Source organism: Homo sapiens, chromosome 17 (genome assembly GCF_000001405.40).
Source record: "Homo sapiens chromosome 17, GRCh38.p14 Primary Assembly".
NCBI classification, from domain to species: domain Eukaryota; kingdom Metazoa; phylum Chordata; class Mammalia; order Primates; family Hominidae; genus Homo; species Homo sapiens.
In genome coordinates, this window is record NC_000017.11 from 57816956 (window position 1) to 57834527 (window position 17572).

Genomic DNA, 17572 nt, shown 5'->3' on the forward strand with positions numbered 1-17572 from the left:
TAGGGTGAGGCAAGAGCTGAATCTGCACTCACATGACCCAAGTGTGAGGGACTCGCTACACTTGTTCCTAGGTGTCTCACTTGCCTCACCCTAGTCCTAGCCCTGGAGTTGGGTTGTGTGTCACAAATGCTGTGGTCCCCTCCCCAGATCCCCTCTTCACCTGTTCCAGCTCTGGGGACTAAGCTCACAGCTACAACCCTCATTGAGAATTACTCTGGCCACAAGGAACTTCCCTGCCCAATATTATACCCCTTCCAGGGGGGACGTCTATGATCAAGGACTGGCTGAGGCAGGGATGAAAACACCTACTTTTTTTTTTTTTTATATCACTTTAGAAGAACTCTAAAAGAGCCATCCCCTCATCCAGAGCTCCAGAGCCTCAGCTCCCACAATGAATTAAGAACTATGATGCTTGGTGGGTTTCATCGGTTCTGGAGGTGCCACAGTCCACACTGTGGAACAGTACTCTAACCCTGCAGGTAACAAAGAAAGCTGCCAGCTTTGAATGGGACCCAGAGCAGGAAAGGGCTCTGCAGCAGGTTCAGGCTGTGGTCAGAAAGCCCTGCCTCCCGCGCTGTGTGACTCGGCAGGCTCTGTGGTCCTAAAGGCTCTGTGTTTTTTGTGGAGGAAGAAACACCACATGGAGTTTCTGGTGAACACCAATAGGAAATAATATTATAGATTCCTAGAGTTCTGAAGCAGGGCATGCCATCTGCAAGAAAAGCTACACACCCATTGAAAAGTAGCTCCCAGGCCAGGCGCGGTGGCTCAAGCCTGTAATCTCAGCACTTTGGGAGGCCAAGGCGAGCGGATCACCTGAGGTCAGGAGTTCAAGACCAGCCTGGCCAACATGGTGAAACCCCGTCTGTACTAAAAATACAAAAATTAGCTGGGCATGGTGGCGGGTGCCTGTAATCCCAGCTACTTGGGAGGCTGAGGCAGGAGGATGGTCTAAGCCCAGGAGGCAGAGCTTGCAGTGAGATCTCACCACTGCACTCAAGCCTGGGCAACAGAGTAAGGCTCCATCTCAAAAAAAAAAAAAAGAAAGAAAGAAAAGAAAAAGAAAAAGAAAAGTAGCTCCCAGAATGCTACTGGATCCTGGTAGAGATGAGGCTTCTGACCAAGTGACACCAAGTAACCAGACAACTGTAGCTCCCCATCATGAACTGGATCTGTCAGATCCACAGAGTCACGAGGGCAGGCAAGCCCAGTAGCAATCAGTCGTTCGATGGAAGCGGTACATTTAGGATCGGCACCCGGAAGCTGCATGGGCAGGTAGCCCAGGCTCCCATGTCATGTGTCAATATTTCCCTGGGCCCTGGCCCTCAGCAATCACCTATAGCTGCATGAGGGCTTCCTTACGGCCAGCTGACAGCAGAAGCAAAAGGCCAAGTTCAGTTCATAGAAGGGTCAGCTCAGTGTGGCAGTGTGAGCTGGGGCTGCTGCCAGTCGGTGGAGGCAGGGAGGAATACGTTTGGCATTTGGATAATCCACTGGGGCATTTCTTGGTGTTCCATACCCATTTTAATGATAATGGGCAAGTACAACAACCAGGTCTTGAAAAGAGCATGGTATCCATGTGGTCAGAACCCTCAGGAATGAGGGTCCAGGTCATCCCACCCAACAAGTCTCTTAGACCAGCAGAGATGCCAGCCAAGGGCAGGAAGACTCTGGTACAGGTGGTGGAGAAGGGGCATAAGGAGTACCAGGTAGAACCTTGAGATCAAATGCAGCATCAGAGTCTGTGTCTGTCCCATTAACCCTTCTCTTGTCAGTTTCCCCAGGAAGCAAAACTCACTACAATCATAAATAAGCCATCAGAGATGGGGCAAACTTACTACAAGAAACAAGTGACTCTGAGCCACTTGAAGGGTCATCTGTCACAGACACTGCCCACCCAGATCCCTTTTCAGGGCCCACACACCCATCCCCTAGCTACTGAGAATAGGGGCTGCTAATGGCTCAGAGGTTCATCCCTCATTGGGAAATGCATGACCCAAGGCACATCCCCTCCTGGGGGAGAGCCTTAGTCAATGACTGGCTGATGGGGGATGCAAAGGCCCAGCTCTCTCACAGTAGGACAGCTCTGGAGGGCCATCCCAGCTCCAGAGTTCCCTGTAGAATTAACTGAGGTCTCCATGGCCAGCACATTGTGGGGCAGCTACTCCCTCTGCCCCGTCCTGCCTCCCTTGCCCCCTTACAAGTACATCTCCCAAGAACACTCCTAATTAATGTTCTGCGTGCAGCTCTCTATCTCAGAGTCTGTTTCCAGGGAGCCCAACCTCAGACATCTCCCAATCTCAGGCTGAGATACTGGGAAACACAAATGATACTGACTCAGTCCCCTGACTCAAGGGACCCAAACAGTTACACAGTGATCTGCCAATCAACAGTTGAGCCTTTGACTGGTCTTCAGGTTGGTTGTTTCCAACCTGTTCCCTCTCACTGGGATTAAAGGAAATTACCCAAAAGAAAAAGAATGCAGCCTATACCACACTTCAATGGTCACGTCCATTCATGTGCCGTCCTTCCCCACTTGAAACCAAATAACTGAAAAAACTTTCCATAGTAATAGTGAAGGCTTCAGCAAGACTGGACAAACCCAGGGACCTCTGCTAGGAAACATGACTAAGCTTGTCCTTCTGAATGAAAGAGGAAGGGCTATTAGCATTGATGAGGTCCACAGGGAATTCAGTGTTATACAGGAATATTTTTTGTATATGACAGAGAAAAATGTAGAAAACAGACTGATTGATTGACAGACAACCTAATTTTTTAATCTGGACATCTTTAATAAATTCTGTAATGCAGGATTATCAATCTTATCTCACCTGGATTTCTACCCTTCACAAAGAGATGGCCTTGATTTTAGAGGCCAGAGTAAGTGCCTTCTTTATCAAAAGGCTCACTGTCAATGTCCAAGTTGAGCGGCCCTGGGTCAGTCCTCAGGAACAAAATTTCATCAACTTTTTATGGTAAGAGAGTTTTTCTGACTAGTTACACATAGGTAATCACTCTCTTTACATAAAACCTTCCTGGATTTGAAGTGCAAGCAAAATGCAAATGCCACTTTCATCTGGATGCGGTAATGCGGCTCCAAGAAGCTAAAGTCACTGTCGCAAGTTTCACATTGGCAGAATGCCGAATTCTTAACATCCAGAATCTCTTTTGACTCCTTACAACCATGAGAAGCAGGGGAAATGCTCTTATTATCCCCATATTGCAGATAACCAAACTGAAGCTCTCAGAAGTTAAATAACTTGCCCAAGATTCCAAAATGTGTCAGAGCTGGACCCCAACCTGGTGTGTCTGATGTAGAGCCGTGTTTTTAAACTATGATGTTATACTCCAATATCCTAAGTATTTTTGGCCATGTCATCTATACATCATAACATCACAGCCACTTACGTTTCATACTTCCACACTTACATATCAAATTGAATATTTTCTACAATGATTTAAAAATTTCAGGTTGTACTTCCTCCCCACTTTTGGGGGAATGGGAGTATGGTATATTGTCTATTGAAATTTCTCAAGATTTTTTAGTCAATTTATTTAAAGGCATTTCTTACTTCCACGTTAATAATAAAATTCAAATTCTAATTTTTTTTTATTTTTTTGAGATGGAGTCTAACTTTGTCACCCAGGCTGGAGTGCAGTGGTGTGATCGTGGCTCACTGCAACCTCCACCTCCCAGGTTCAAGCGATTCTCCTGCCTCAACTTCCCAAGTAGCTGGGATTACAGGCGCCAGCCACCATGCCCAGCTAATTTTTTGTATTTTTAGTAGAGACGGGGTTTCGCCATGTTGCCTAGGCTGGTCTCAAACTCCTGACCTCAAGTGCTCCACCCCCCTTGGCCTCCCAAAGTGCTGGGATTACAGGCATGAGACACTGCACACAGCCTTAAATTATAATTTTTTAAAGAGTCACAAGTAAAAGCCAAAAGGAAGTTCTATGTTTGACCTTCTTTGTTAAAAAATAAATGTACAGAGGACAGGACAATGTCTTCTGTAGTTTGCCTGATACTGAGCCAAGTGAGATTTTCATATTAAATTTTGCTGTCCAGTCTGGGCACGGGGGCTTGCGCCTGTAATCACAGCACTTTGGAAGCCAAGATGGGGGGATCATTTGAGGTCAGGAGTTCGAGACCAGCCCGGCCAACATGGTAAAACCCCGTCTCTATTAAAAATACAAAAATTAGCTGGGTGTGGTAGTGGGCACCTGTAATCCCAGCTACTTGGGAGGCTGAGGTAGGAGAATCACTTGAACCCAGGAGACGGAGATTGCAGTGAGCCTAGATCATGCCACAGCACTCCAGCCTGGATGACAGAGTGAGATTCCGTCTCAAAAATAAAAATAAAAATAAATAAATAAATTTTGCCATCCAGAATTTTATTATGCTTTGGGGAGACAGAGTGGGAGGTAAGAACAAGATTGTTAGTGACATATTTGTCCTATAATAAATTTTAAAATTGTTTTTTGTTCTCTGAAGATATCTTCAAACTTATCTTTTATTTATTTAAACATAATAAGCAAGAAAAGTCACATATTGTCTGTAGTTCGATAATCTCAACAGCTTACATCTTTATAGATCTGCTTCTATTCTATCTAGTTTCCTTGTGTACCTGGTTATCTTTGACCATATTCCAGCACTTTAAAAATTAGGTATAGGAATAATATGAGGCCTCTGGGTGTAGATATACCCAGAGATGATCTGCTTCTGTAATGTGTTGGGATCATACCAGTCTGGGACCACCTTAAGCCAAATCCAAGGCCTGAGATTTCCTGGACCTGGACAATCTGAATAATTGGAACCTGAGTTATGATTCTGCAGGAGGGCTGCTCCACTTCTAGCCACCCTCCCCCTCAGGATATACCCTGGGAAGTCCCAGTGTACTATAGGAGGGCCGCCTCTCCTTGGCTGGCTCCTGGCTTCCATTTCTGCACTCTCTTCCAGCCAGGCTGCAGCCCATCCGTGGAAGTTCCCCACAGAGGATCAGCAAATACCTGCAGGGCAAAAAGAGCTTTGGTGCTCCTTCACCTCTCTGGTTCCTATTCTCTCTTCCCTGTTGACCTAGTCATTTCTTACTATCTTGTCAGCAATTTCATACTGCTGAAGATTTCCAAAAAATAGTTTACGTTGTTATTTGTCTCCAGTGGGAGAGTTGGTCCACATAGTTTAGCCTACCATTGCTAGGAGGTCTCATCCTGTAAGCTTCTCAAGAAATAACCAACTCAGGCCAAACGGTGGGCCCTACTAATAGGTGTTAAGAAAGACCTAAAGTTGATTTATGTGTCTTAAAACAAAATAATCGATTTTTCAACAAACACATCTTTCTGCTTACTGAGGCCTGTAGTTCCAGAAGCATGGGTTTAGGGTCTTCAAAGGAAGGGGGGCATTGGGGGTGGGAAGGGAAGTGCATAAGAATCACCCACAGCCTCAGGTGCACCGGCTCTGCTACTGAGCAGTTCTACAACCTTGGCCAATAAGGCCAGCTCTTGGCTGGTTTTCTCATCCGGAAAATGGGAATAATGAAAATCATAGGCCGGGCGCGGTGGCTCACACCTGTAATCCCAGCACTTTGGGAGGCCAAGGTGGGTAGATCACCTGAGGTCAGGACTTCGAGACCAGCCTGGCCAACATGGTGAAACCCTGTCTCTACTAAAAATAATAAATACAAAAATGAGCCGGGCGTGATGGCAGGCACCTGTAATCCCAGCTACTCAGGAGGCTGAGGCAGGAGAATCGCTTGAACCTGGGAGGCAGAGGTTGCAGTGAGCTGAAATCGTGCCACTGCCATGGTGGCAGGCACCTATAATCCGAGCTACTCGGGAGGCTGAGGCAAGAGAATCAATTGAACCTGGGAGGCAGAGGTTGCAGTGAGCCGAAATCGTACCACTGCACTCCAGCCTGGGTGACAGAGAGACTCTGTCTCAAAAAAAAAGATCATAATACCTGTCTCACAATGTCGTCATGTGGATTGAATGAAATTGAATGATACAAGCAAAGCCTTTAGCTCAATGTTTAGCACAACAACGTCTGTTAAGTGTTGGGCAAACATTATTATTATTATTATCCCCAAGGTGCTGATGGCCTAAGACACATACTCACCAGACCATCCCCTCTCCCCTGCACATGCTCACAGTCCTAGTTCAGTAGTTGGAAACCACTGCCTTAGTTAATGATGATTTGAATAAATCACTGGATTCCAATGGTCCAGTTGCTAAAGACATTATTCTGAAGGCCCGAAAGGCAGGCCTCCTGAATTTTATCTCCCTTAACTCATTCTGTGACCTACAAATTGAAAGGAGGAAAATAATTCAGATGGCGAAAGGGCCTGGAGATACCCCCCCAATAAAAGATTCCCCTGCAACCACGTGGCAAGTTGTGCTGTTATGATAAAGCGGAAGACTGTTTGGAAATAATCAAAAATTCTCTCAGGAAGCCCAATTATATTTTTACATCAAGAATCAAAATGCTGGTGCTGCAGACTTCAGCCTATCATTCACAAACCTTTTATCCTGTAATTAAGCCAGATCTGCTGCTGGGCTAATTCTTCCCTGAATGACACCACCCTTTGAGCCAGCCCGTATGTCGGTAGAAGACTTCACTCTGATGATCTATTACACCAATACATCACCGCGGTGAGCTGCCTCCTTAATGATTTATCCATAACACATCATCAGAGTGAGGCACACTTGTAATATATTGCTCAATAAGTCTGCAGTGGCCAAGGGAGAAAGCCACGAACAGCAGCCGAGTCTGTGCCCTTACACGGCTGGTGTCAGAGCGCAGGACCCACGCTGGGCTCTCCTCTCTAAACAAATGTTTATATAGGTGGGAGGGCTCTCATGCCAATAGGCTTTTAAAACATGAAGAACCATGACCTTAAGAAAGCACCATAAATCCAGAGGAGAAAGGCCCCTCCGTGTGTAGTAGGGCTTACTCTTCTAAGCCTGTCATTTCTAAGCATTTTAAGCTCTTACTTAGTAGAAGGCCGGGACCACTGCAACACACACCCCAGGGGATGCCATTCTCATTGTAGTCTGCGCAAATGGTGCCCCCTGGAATTGTGCAACGTGCGGCCTGAGTCACCCCACATGGCAGCCCTGTAGGAAGACCTATGGTTAAAAGCATAGACTCTGGCATCATTCTGCCTTGTTTGAATCAAAATTCCTGGAATAACAGTCCTATTTCATGGAGTTGCTGTGAGATTGAGTAAGGTAATGCTTGTAGAGCACTTATCATGTAATAAACACTCAGCAAATGTTAGCCTCTTCTAATAGCTACCTTCACAATGCTGAGTGCCAGGAAGCCTTTAGGTCCAGGCCTAAGGTAGCAGGCTGCCCCTATAGATTGTGTTCTTTATTCTGGCAGACGCTGTCTAATTTTTATGTATTTAAATGCTGCTTCATTCAAAAGAAAAAAGGGGAGAGTGGATAAAAAGGTGCTCATGGGGCTGGGTGCGATGAGCCTGTAATCCCAGCACTTTGGGAGGCTGAGGTGGGCGAATCACAAGGTCAAGAGATCCAGACCATCCTGGCCAACATGGTAAAACCCTGTCTCTTCTAAAAATACAAAAATTAGCTGGGCATGGTGGTGCATGCCTGTAATCCGAGCTACTCGGGAGGCTGAGGCAGGAGAATCGCTTGAACCTGGGAGTCAGAGATTGCAGTGAGCTGATATCACGCCACTGTACTCCAGCCTGGCGACAGAGCAAGACTCCATCTCAAAAAAAAAAAAAAAAAAAAAAAAAAAAAGGTGCTTACGGAAATACATAATAGGATGAATATAAAGAAATGGGAACATCTGCGAAAAGAGGGAGAAAGATTAAATAAAGTTTAAGCAAAAGTAATGTACAAAAAGAATGCCAAGAATCAGTAAGAGTGGGGTCACGGGCACACCCATTCCCTCCAGTGGGAGCAAGTCAGTGCAACCACTCTGGAGTGCAACTTGGCATCACCCAAAAAGCGAAAGATGAGCCCTACCGCCCAGCAATTTCACTCCTAATTGTATGCCCTGGCTCAGAGGGATTCTTCCTTGCACACATGTACAAAGAAACAGGGATAATAATGTTCCCTGCAACATCCTAGAGACAGCAAAAAAAAAAAAAAACTGGAAACAACTGAAACCTCCAAGAGGAAAATAAATATATAACAATAATAGCCAACTCTCTTTTTAAAAAATCACTTTTTGTTTTTGAGACAGGGTCTCAGCTCTGTCACCCAGTCTTTACTGCAGTGACACAATCATAGCTCACTGCAGTTCAAGGGATCTTCCCAAGTAGCTGAGACTACAGGTGTCCATCACCACACCAGGCTAATCATTTTGTTGTTGTTGTTGTTGTTTTTATTTATTTATTTTTATTTTTATTTATTTATTTATTTTGAGACGGAGTTTTGCTCTTGTTGCCCAGGCTGGAGTGCAATGGCGTGATCTCAGCTCACCACAACCTCTGCCTCCTGGGTTCAAGCGATTCTTCTGCCTCAGCCTCCCGCGTAGCTGGGATTACAGGCATCCACCACCACGCCCGGCTAATTTTTGTATTTTTAGTAGAGACGGGGTTTTACCATGTTGGCCAGGCTGGTCTCAAACTCCTGACCTCAGGTGATCCACCCGCCTTGGCCTCCCAAAGTGCTGGGATTACAGGCGTGAGACACCATGCCCAGCCAAAAATCCTTCTAATGTTTATTTTTTTAATTATGAAAATAACTCTTTTTAATTTATTTGCATAGTGTTTTTATTCTACTACATACATAAAAATAGAAGCTACAGGTGAATTAAGTTTATTAATGTGGTCTTAAACATCTTCCTGTTCAGTCTGACATGTCTGAATCCCTTTCAGACTCAGTGTCTTTGATGTCTGTGCTTTTCTACATACCTTCCTGTTCTGTTCCATGAAGGACATTAGTGATATGGCATTTCTTAAAAGAATGTTCCATTAGTGCTTATGAGACCAAGTCTTACACTATATACCAGGAATATTTTCAATGCTTTTCACCTATTAAGTCATTTATTTTCGCCTCTATTAGATAGGTGGTATCATTAGCCCCATTTTACAGATGAAGAAACAGAGACGAGAAGAGGAGGTTAAGTCACTTGCCCAAGGTCACAGAACTAGTAAGTGGCAGGGTTGGGGTTTGAACCAAGGCAGCCTGGCCCCAGAGCCATACTCTTAAAGCCTACATATTCATACATCTAGTCTTAGAATAGAATATTGTACAGCAGTGAAAATGAATTAACTAGAGTTACATGTGGCAAAACAGGTGAGTTTCAAAAGAAAACTCTTGAGTAAAAAGATCAAATTACAGAGGGATACATGCAGTATAAAGCCACTTTTATAATATTTTTAAATGTGTAAAACAATACTGTATGTTTATTATAGATACATACGTTTGTAGAAAAAATTATTATTTTTTAAGTAGGGAAGATAAACACCAAGTCCAGGAAAATATCCACCACGAGAGTAGGGACAAAGAAGAAAGGGATCAGGAATGGATACAAGAAGCTCATGTCTTAACCTGGGTGATGGGTAAGTAGATATTTGTTGTAGAGTCTCTGTAATTTTTGAATGCCTGAAATATTTCATAATAATCAAAAATAATGCCATCTCCTACTCCAGAGCTGCATGTAACTGTAAATTAAGCTCTGAATTTCCCCACAGCCAAAGCTAAGAGGGAAACTAAGACACCAAATTTGCCAAGACCGCAGAAGCAAACCACCCAAGTTGTTCAAAAGCAGCACAGTTTTTTATTCCTTAAGCTAAAACGTGAAAGATATTTATCCCACGGGTCTTCATAGAGGAAAAAATGGTCAGTAACATTCCCACAGAAAAAAACAAAAGTATGCCTCATACAACCATTTCCTAGCATCCCTCAATGCATTGTAACAGCTTAATGTCAAAGCAGGCTTCAGAAGCAGCAGCTCAGCTGGGCGAGGTGGCTCACACCTGTAATCCCAGCACTTTGGGAGGTCAGGAAGGAGGATCGCTTGACCCCAGGAGTTCAAGACCAGGCTGGGCAACAAAGAAAGACCCCATCTGTACAAAAAAATTGAAAAATGAGACAGGGTCTCATACACCTGTAGTCCCAGCTATTCAGGAGGCTGAGGCAGGAGGATCGCTTGAGCCTGGGAAGTAGAGGCTACCGTGAGCTTTGATCATGCCACTGCACTCCAGCCTGGGTGACATAGCGAGACCCTGTTTCCAAAAGAAAAAATTAAAAATAATTAAATTTTAAAAAAGAAGCAGCTGCTCTATAAAGGGAACTGTCTTTATTGCCAGCTTCTGGGACATTTCCAGAGAGAACAGACCTTCATGAGCAAGAGGGAAGCAGGCCGACTTGACCACAGTAGCCTGGGGACTGACACAGCCTTAACTCTGGGAAGGACCCTCCTTCAGATTCCTGCTCAGGGGCCTGGGACCCATAGCTGCAGACAAGCCATAAAGATATCCTACAGTCCTGGGATCTGAAAGCATTCACCCTCTGTTTAGTTCTTCTCATGATCACTCAGACTTCTTGGACCCTGAGTCCATCCAGCTGTCTGTTGAAACCATTGGCTCTTACCTTCATCTTACAAAGGCGGGAGCCAGCTAGGCACCGTGGCTCACACCTGTACTCCAGCACTTTGGGAGGCCGAGGCGGGCGGATCACCTGAGGATGGGAGTTAGAGACCAGCCTGACCAACATGGAGAAACCCTGTCTCTGCTAAATATACAAAATTAGCCGGGCCTGGTGGCACATGCCTGTAATCCCAGATGCTCAAGAGGCTGAGGCAGGAGAATCGCTTGAACCCAAGAGGCGGAGGTTTCGATGAGCAGGGATCCCGCCGTTGCACTCCAGCCTGGGCAACAAGAGTGAAACTCTGTCTCAAAAAAAAAAAAAAAAAAAGCAAGCTGATTATTTAGAGATGTAAAGGTACCCACCAGACGCACTAAAAACAGAAATGGTTAAAACTAGTTGGCCCCAAGAACAGGCCTGGGGTCGGAGGGGTGGAGAGCCTGTTCAGAAAATTGTGGGGAAATTTGAAAATGGACTGAGTACGAGGAAATCTTCAAAAACTGGCTGTTAAATGCCATGTTGTTGGGTTTGATAATGGTATTGTATTGATATAAGAAAGGGTCTTATTTTCCAGAGAAGCAGGCTGAAGCCTTGGGTGAGAGAGGTTTTGTGGGAACTTGCTTTAAAATGCCTCAGAAAAGCTGGAAGCTGTCGCTCATGCCTGTAATCCCAGCACTTTGGGAGGCCAAAGTGGAGGGATTGCTTAAGCCCAGGAGTTCGAGACCGGCCTGAACAACATGGTGAGATCCTGTCTCTACAAAAACTCAGAAAATGAGGCGGGCAGATCCCTTGAGCCCAGGAGGTTGAGGCTGCAATGAGCCATGATTGCACCACTTGCCCTCCCACCTGAGTGACAGAGCAAAACCCTGCCTCAAAAAAACAAACAAAAAACAAAACAAAAAAAAACACTTCAGAAAAAATATAGATGAGCAAAAACAGCAAAATATTAATAATGGTTTAGTCTACATGATAAACATATGGAGGATCTTTATATGATTCTTTTTTTTTTTTTTTTTTTTTGAGATGGAGTCTTGCTCTGTCGCCCAGGCTGGAGTGCAGAGGCGCGATCTCGGCTCACTGCAACCTCCACCTCCCAGGTTCAAGCAATTCTCCTGTCTCAGCCTCCCGAGTAGCTGGGATTACAGGTGCACGCTGCCATGGCTGGCTAACTTTTTGTATTTTAGTAGAGACAGGGTTTCACCATATTGCCCAGGCTGGTTTCCAACTCCTGAGCTCAGGCAGTCCACCTGCCTCGGCCTCCCAAAATGCTGGGATTACAGGCATGAGCCACTACACCCAGCCAATTCTCTCTACTTTTATGAATGCTTCCATAATCAAATTTAAAATGTGGGTTTGTTTTGTTTTGTTTTGTTGTGTTTGAGACAGGGTCTCGCTCTGTCAGTCAGCCTGGGGTGCGGTGGCATGATCATAAATCGAGGTTTCAGTGAAACCTCGAACTCCTGGGCTCAGGGGATCCTCCCACTTCAGCCTCTGGAGTAGCTGGGACTACAGGCACACACTACCACGCATACCTGGCTAATTTTTAAAAAATTTTTTGTAGAGATGGGGGTCTCACTATAATGCCCAGGCTAGTTCCGAACACCTGGCCTCAAGTGATCTGCCTACCTTGGTATCCCTAAGTGTTGGGATTACAGGCATGAGCCACTGTGCCCAGCCTGAAAAGATTTTAAAGAAGTATTTAATAAATCTTGGAAGATGCTGATTCTGCTCTTCTTGGAGCTCCGCTTGGACCCATGGACCCAAAGAACAGGACTTCAGGGATCTTGTAGCTCAACCCCCTCATCTTACAAATGGCTAAAAAGGTTTGAAGACTTACCAAAGTCATACAGCCAACAAATGGATGAGCTGGGGCCAGGCTGGGGTCTCCAGGAGCCTTACCCAGTGTCCTATCTACTGTCTCATGTCTGCCTCATTTTTGGACAAAAGGAGCTATTTTTAAATGTCAATAAAGAACCGGGGTACACTCAGTTCTTTTTTTCTTAAGGCAGACATTGCCTATGGGTCGATGGGTTCTCATCGTAAAAAACCCCTGACTATACCCGGAAAGTTTTATTCTCTTCAACATAAAATTAAAGTATATTCAAGTCCTTTAGATCTTACAGCCACTCCTTTGGGGGTTGGCAAAGCATGTGTCAGTCGAGCAATAAACATCTGTCATCTAGAGCTCATTAATATTAATTACAAGTGGCCAGTGGCTCAGGGGACCTCAGTCCTGCAGATGAGATTTTCCTAAATTTGACCTTCTTAGACTTACAGGTGTTTAAACTGGTTCTTTTAAGAAGCCAGTCTATGGCCAGGCGCAGTGGCTTATGCCTGTAATCCCAGCACTTTTGGAGGCCGAGGACGGTGGATCACTTGAGGTCAGGAGTTCGAGACCAGCCTGGCCAACATGGTGAAACCCCGTCTCTACTAAAAATACAAAAATTATCTGGGTGTGGTGGCACATGCCTGTAGTCCCAGCTACTCAGGAGGCTGAGGCAGGAGAATCACTTGAACCCAGGAGGCGGAGGTTGCAGTGAGCCAAAATCACGCCACTGCACTCCAGCCTGGGCTACAGAGCAAGACTCCATCTCAAAAAAAAAAAAAAAAGGCCGAGGGCAGTGGCTCATGCCTGTAATCCCAGCACTTTGGGAGACCGAGGCTGGCGGATCACCTGAGGTCTGGAGTTCAAGACCAGCCTGACCAACATGGTGAAACCCCATCTCTACTAAAAATACAAAAATTAGCCAGGCGTGGTGGCAGGCACCTGTAATCCCAACTACTGGGGAGGCTGAGACTAGAGAATCACTTGAACCCAGGAGGCGGAGTTTGCAGTGACTGGAGATCGTGCCAGTATACTCCAGGCTGGGTGACAAGATCGAAACTCCGTCTCAAAAATAAATAAATAAAAATTTAAATAAAAAAAAAAAGCCAGTCTAGGCCCATTTCAACAATCAAAAGGGAAGAAATAAACACTCCCAAGTATCAGAGGTTAGGTTGCCCAATAAGCCAGGAGGGGCCTGGCCAGAATGCTACAGGACTGTGGGACATTCTGGTGCCTTCTGTCTGCCTGGAGCTTGGGTTGCCAGATCCTCCTCCTTAGCTGGCCCATCTCCCACAGCCCTTTTCTCTTCTCTCACATAGGAAAGTTGGGGATGGGGCAAAGCTACCAAAGACAAGCTTTACCTTCTCATATTTAAATTGGAATTTTTCTGGGATTAAGCCCACTACCTCTTGTTCTAACCTTGGGGGCCCTTGGAGGGTGGGTAGGCAGAGAAACCAGATGTGGCTCAGGCACACTCACTGAGGTGACCTGGATCCCGGGCACTGAGCCTTCCCTTTTCCCATCTGAAAATGGAGCCCCTGCCCATGCTATGGGAGTCAGCCTGTGGCTGCTGGCAGTAGTGGCAAAGCCACCCCCTTGTCCCTGATGTCACACTCAAGGGGGCTGGAAGCCTTGAGGAGCCAGCCAAGTGACATCTATACCAGCCTGGTTCTCAGCGGGAAGCCAGATCCGAGAAGGCAATGGGCTCCGGGAGGGCAGAGGAGGTCACCTGAGCTGCAGAGAAGGGGCAGGGCCATTTCGCCCCACTGGGCGGGAGCCAGCAGGAGCTGATGATAAAGCTCAGGACCTCCTCGTATGCACTGAATATTCCAGAAATAACCCTGAGCACGCCTAGGGTTTCCACTGAGCACCTGGGAAAGGAGAGGCTTTGAAGAACAATCCTGCATTTCCTGCAGAATTTTCTAGGAGGCAGAGACTAGAAAGCTGAACTTTTCCACTAGTTGTCCCTCATCCTGCCACACTCCCTCTCCGGAGGCCATCGTCTTGGAATCTACACTGCTTCCAGGTTGAAGGCCAGTAGCATCACCACCAGCCCCACAGCCATGTTCTTCTTTCCTGCATCTTTATTTCGCGTAACAGTAGAAGGCTTGAGAGTTTACAAAGTTCTGCATAGCCAGCATCTTATTCGGGTTTTGCACCCCAAAACATACTTGGTGCTAATATTATTTTCCCCGTGTCAAAAACAGGGAAATCATTCATTTGTTCACTTGACAAATATACTTCCAAAAATCTATTAGGTTCCAGATTCTCTCCTGGGGCTGGATGTGGCTCAAAATGGTCAAGTGATTTCTCTAAAGCCATGGCCACAAAGGAGTGCCAGCGTCAGGATTTGAATCCAGTCCTTTTGACTGAGACTTAGAGAGGAAAGAGGTCAGAGCCCTTCCCCTGTAACCCACCTGGGTGGCACCCTTAGCTCTGTGCTCCTCTGGCCTCACATCCCAGGTAATTCAAGGCAGAGGGGCCCACCATACACTGGCAGACCACCAGGGTAAAATAAAGTGGGAGGGTAGGAAGGTCAAGGATAGATCTTTCTGGTCCTCTAGGCCTCATCCTCACCCTGCCCACCATTTCTGCCCTGGCACCCACTGCCTCCCCATGCCCTTCATAGGGAGAAGCTCCAGAAAGAGTTTCAGAAACTCCTAATTGCTGACTAGCCCCAGGTCCCCAAAACAATGGCTCTGATGTTGGAACTATTTTCCCTGGCCGGGCCTCTAGGTAGTGACCCTCTGGCTTTCCTCCATAATCTGGGGCAAAGAGGGTGGAGAAAGAAAGCAGAAAAGTGTGCTGAAAGGAAGGCAGTTGGGGGGAGTGTAGAGGGGCAGCAAGGAGGCAGAAAAGGGCCGGGCATGGTGGCTCATGCCTATAATCCCAGCACTTTGGGAGGCCAAGGCGGGAGAGTCGCTTGAGGCCAGGAATTTGAGACCAGCCTGAGCGACATAGCATAGAGACCCTATCTCTACAAAAAAATTAAAAATAAAAAATTAGCTTGGCATAGTGGCATGCACCTGTAGCCCTAGCTACCTGGGAGGCTGAGGCAGGAGGACCACTTGAGCCCAGGAGGTTGAGACTGAAGTGAGCTATGATTGCACCACTGCACCCCAGCCTGAGTGACAGAGAGAGACTTTGTCCCTATTTTTAAAAAAAGGAAGCAGGAAAGAAGAAACAGAATGAGTGTCATTGAGTGTCATTTAAAATGTTGGTTTCTACACACACGCTTGCCCACAGGCATACACAATCCAAGAAGTTACTAAATAAATGCACATTTTCCAGTGAAACCTACCAGCATGGGATAAGTTCCAAAAGCGGATAGTTCCCAAGATGTTCTCTAGTTTCCTCCTTTGTTGTTGTTGTTGTAGTTGTTTTTTAATTTGATTCATTTACTTGGTGCTAGAAGTTTGGAAGGAGATAAAGGACAGAGTAACTACTGGGGGTGGGGGATAGAGAAAGCTGTGTTTAGACGAGTGGCTGGTGAAAGAGGACACAATACCGTTTCTTCTCAATGTTAATCTAGCGCATGTTAATTCCTCCCCACCCAGTGGGAATCGACAGTGGCTGAAAGCCTTCTAGGCACTGACAGCAAAGACGGAGTACTCGCCAAGAACTTTGTTCACGTTCTCATTCAGTCCTCACAGCAACTTAGTGAGGTAGACGTTGTTACCCTTGTTTTACAGATAAGGAAATTGAGGTTCAGACGGTTCACTAACTCCCCTAATGTCACCAGACAAAGCAACAGATCAGGGTTTCAAACCCAGGTCTGTTCTCCAAGGCCTGGGTTTTTTCCGCTGCTCTGCCTCCCTGCCTGCACTGTTCTCTCTCCCGCTGTCCTCCACAGCAAATTCGCAGATGTGTCATTGACTGGAGAAGGTTAGGAAACACTGCTCTGGGCAGAGTCTCCAGGGGCTCAGCGCAGTAAGCTCCTTCCTCTCCAGCTCCTATTATGGTGCAAACAGTGCCGCTTCCCCGGCAGGCCTTTGTCATTTGTCCCGTGGCCTGTCCCCTCCCATCTCTACCCCATCCCAGTAGCACCCCAGGACCTCAGCTTCCTAAATTTCAGCCACAACATTATTTTTACAAGGACACTCTTCAACCTTGAAAGGCAAGGTACCCCGAGGCAAGGAAACGAAATGACTGTAGTTGAACAGCATGAGAGTCCAGCGCCATCTAGTGGTGCTGAAACCGACAAGTCCCTGGCGGTGACATTTTCAAATAATCAATATCTCATTATTAACCATAATCACAACCTGATGTTTACTTTTGGAGAAATGTTCAGCAGCAAGGGATGCACATGCACTTTTCTGCATGTTTCAGAGGCCTGCGATCCTAAATGCCACAATGACTATTAAACAGTGTCCTGCCCATGAGCAAACAGGAGAGATTGATTGTATATCTTTTTCATCTAAGCTGCTCACCAAAAACAAAGCTCAGTTGAAGCCAGTGACCTTTCACTAACTGCTGGAAGGAAAATGCTTGATAAATAATAAATAGACCACTACTGGATCTTGCTTAGAACTATCTTTTAATTAAAAGAACTGAGGAGCTAGAAGGTCCGGTGACTGACATTTATTTCAGTTGCAGTCCAGGAAAAGCATTCATTGAGGGTAAAATGATACTTGAAATGTATTTTCGTTGTCAGCTAGTATTCCCCAAAAACCCTGTCTGTAATCTGCATGGATGGAGGGTGGTGGTGGTGGCTGGCAGTAGCAACATTTTGTAGGGAACATAACACTTAACTTCCTGCCTTCTCTGCCTTCCCCTAGCAACCTTTTCTTTTTCGTGCTGCAGCAATAAACACTTGTCTGGTTCAGCATCACCACAGAAACTGCTTCAGTGCCGGGCTCATCCAATCAGAGACCCGCCTGCCACATTGAGCGCTACCCTAGGAGTGACAGGAAAGCCATTTCCCGTCTTTTCCACAGGAGGGCAGGTGCCCTTCCTCTGCCAGCCAAGGTGACCTCGACCAAGTTGCTCACTGAACCTGCTCAGCCATCCCTCATCTCACCCAGCACGGTCAAAGGCTCAGAACGCATGACTAACTTAGCCCGAGTCAGGCTCCCACCTTTTGGCTATTCTAGAATTGAGCTCAGAACATAGAGACCAGGAAGTCTCAGCCTTCCCCATCCCCTCCTCCACTCACCTTTGCTTGCTCCTAGCTCCAGTCTTCTGGCT

At 46.2% G+C, this 17572-nt stretch overlaps 3 annotated features.

The window, feature by feature from the left end:
• Positions 15797 to 16308: an enhancer, noted in NCBI's record as "NANOG-H3K27ac hESC enhancer chr17:55910113-55910624 (GRCh37/hg19 assembly coordinates)". NCBI's record gives its function as "activates a minimal SCP1, AML or CMV promoter by ChIP-STARR-seq in naive H9 embryonic stem cells {active_cell/tissue: H9 hESC(naive)}" and the evidence as "EXISTENCE:reporter gene assay evidence [ECO:0000049][PMID:30033119]".
• Positions 16309 to 16819: an enhancer, noted in NCBI's record as "NANOG-H3K27ac hESC enhancer chr17:55910625-55911135 (GRCh37/hg19 assembly coordinates)". NCBI's record gives its function as "activates a minimal SCP1, AML or CMV promoter by ChIP-STARR-seq in naive H9 embryonic stem cells {active_cell/tissue: H9 hESC(naive)}" and the evidence as "EXISTENCE:reporter gene assay evidence [ECO:0000049][PMID:30033119]".
• Positions 16988 to 17488: an enhancer, noted in NCBI's record as "H3K4me1 hESC enhancer chr17:55911304-55911804 (GRCh37/hg19 assembly coordinates)". NCBI's record gives its function as "activates a minimal SCP1, AML or CMV promoter by ChIP-STARR-seq in naive H9 embryonic stem cells {active_cell/tissue: H9 hESC(naive)}" and the evidence as "EXISTENCE:reporter gene assay evidence [ECO:0000049][PMID:30033119]".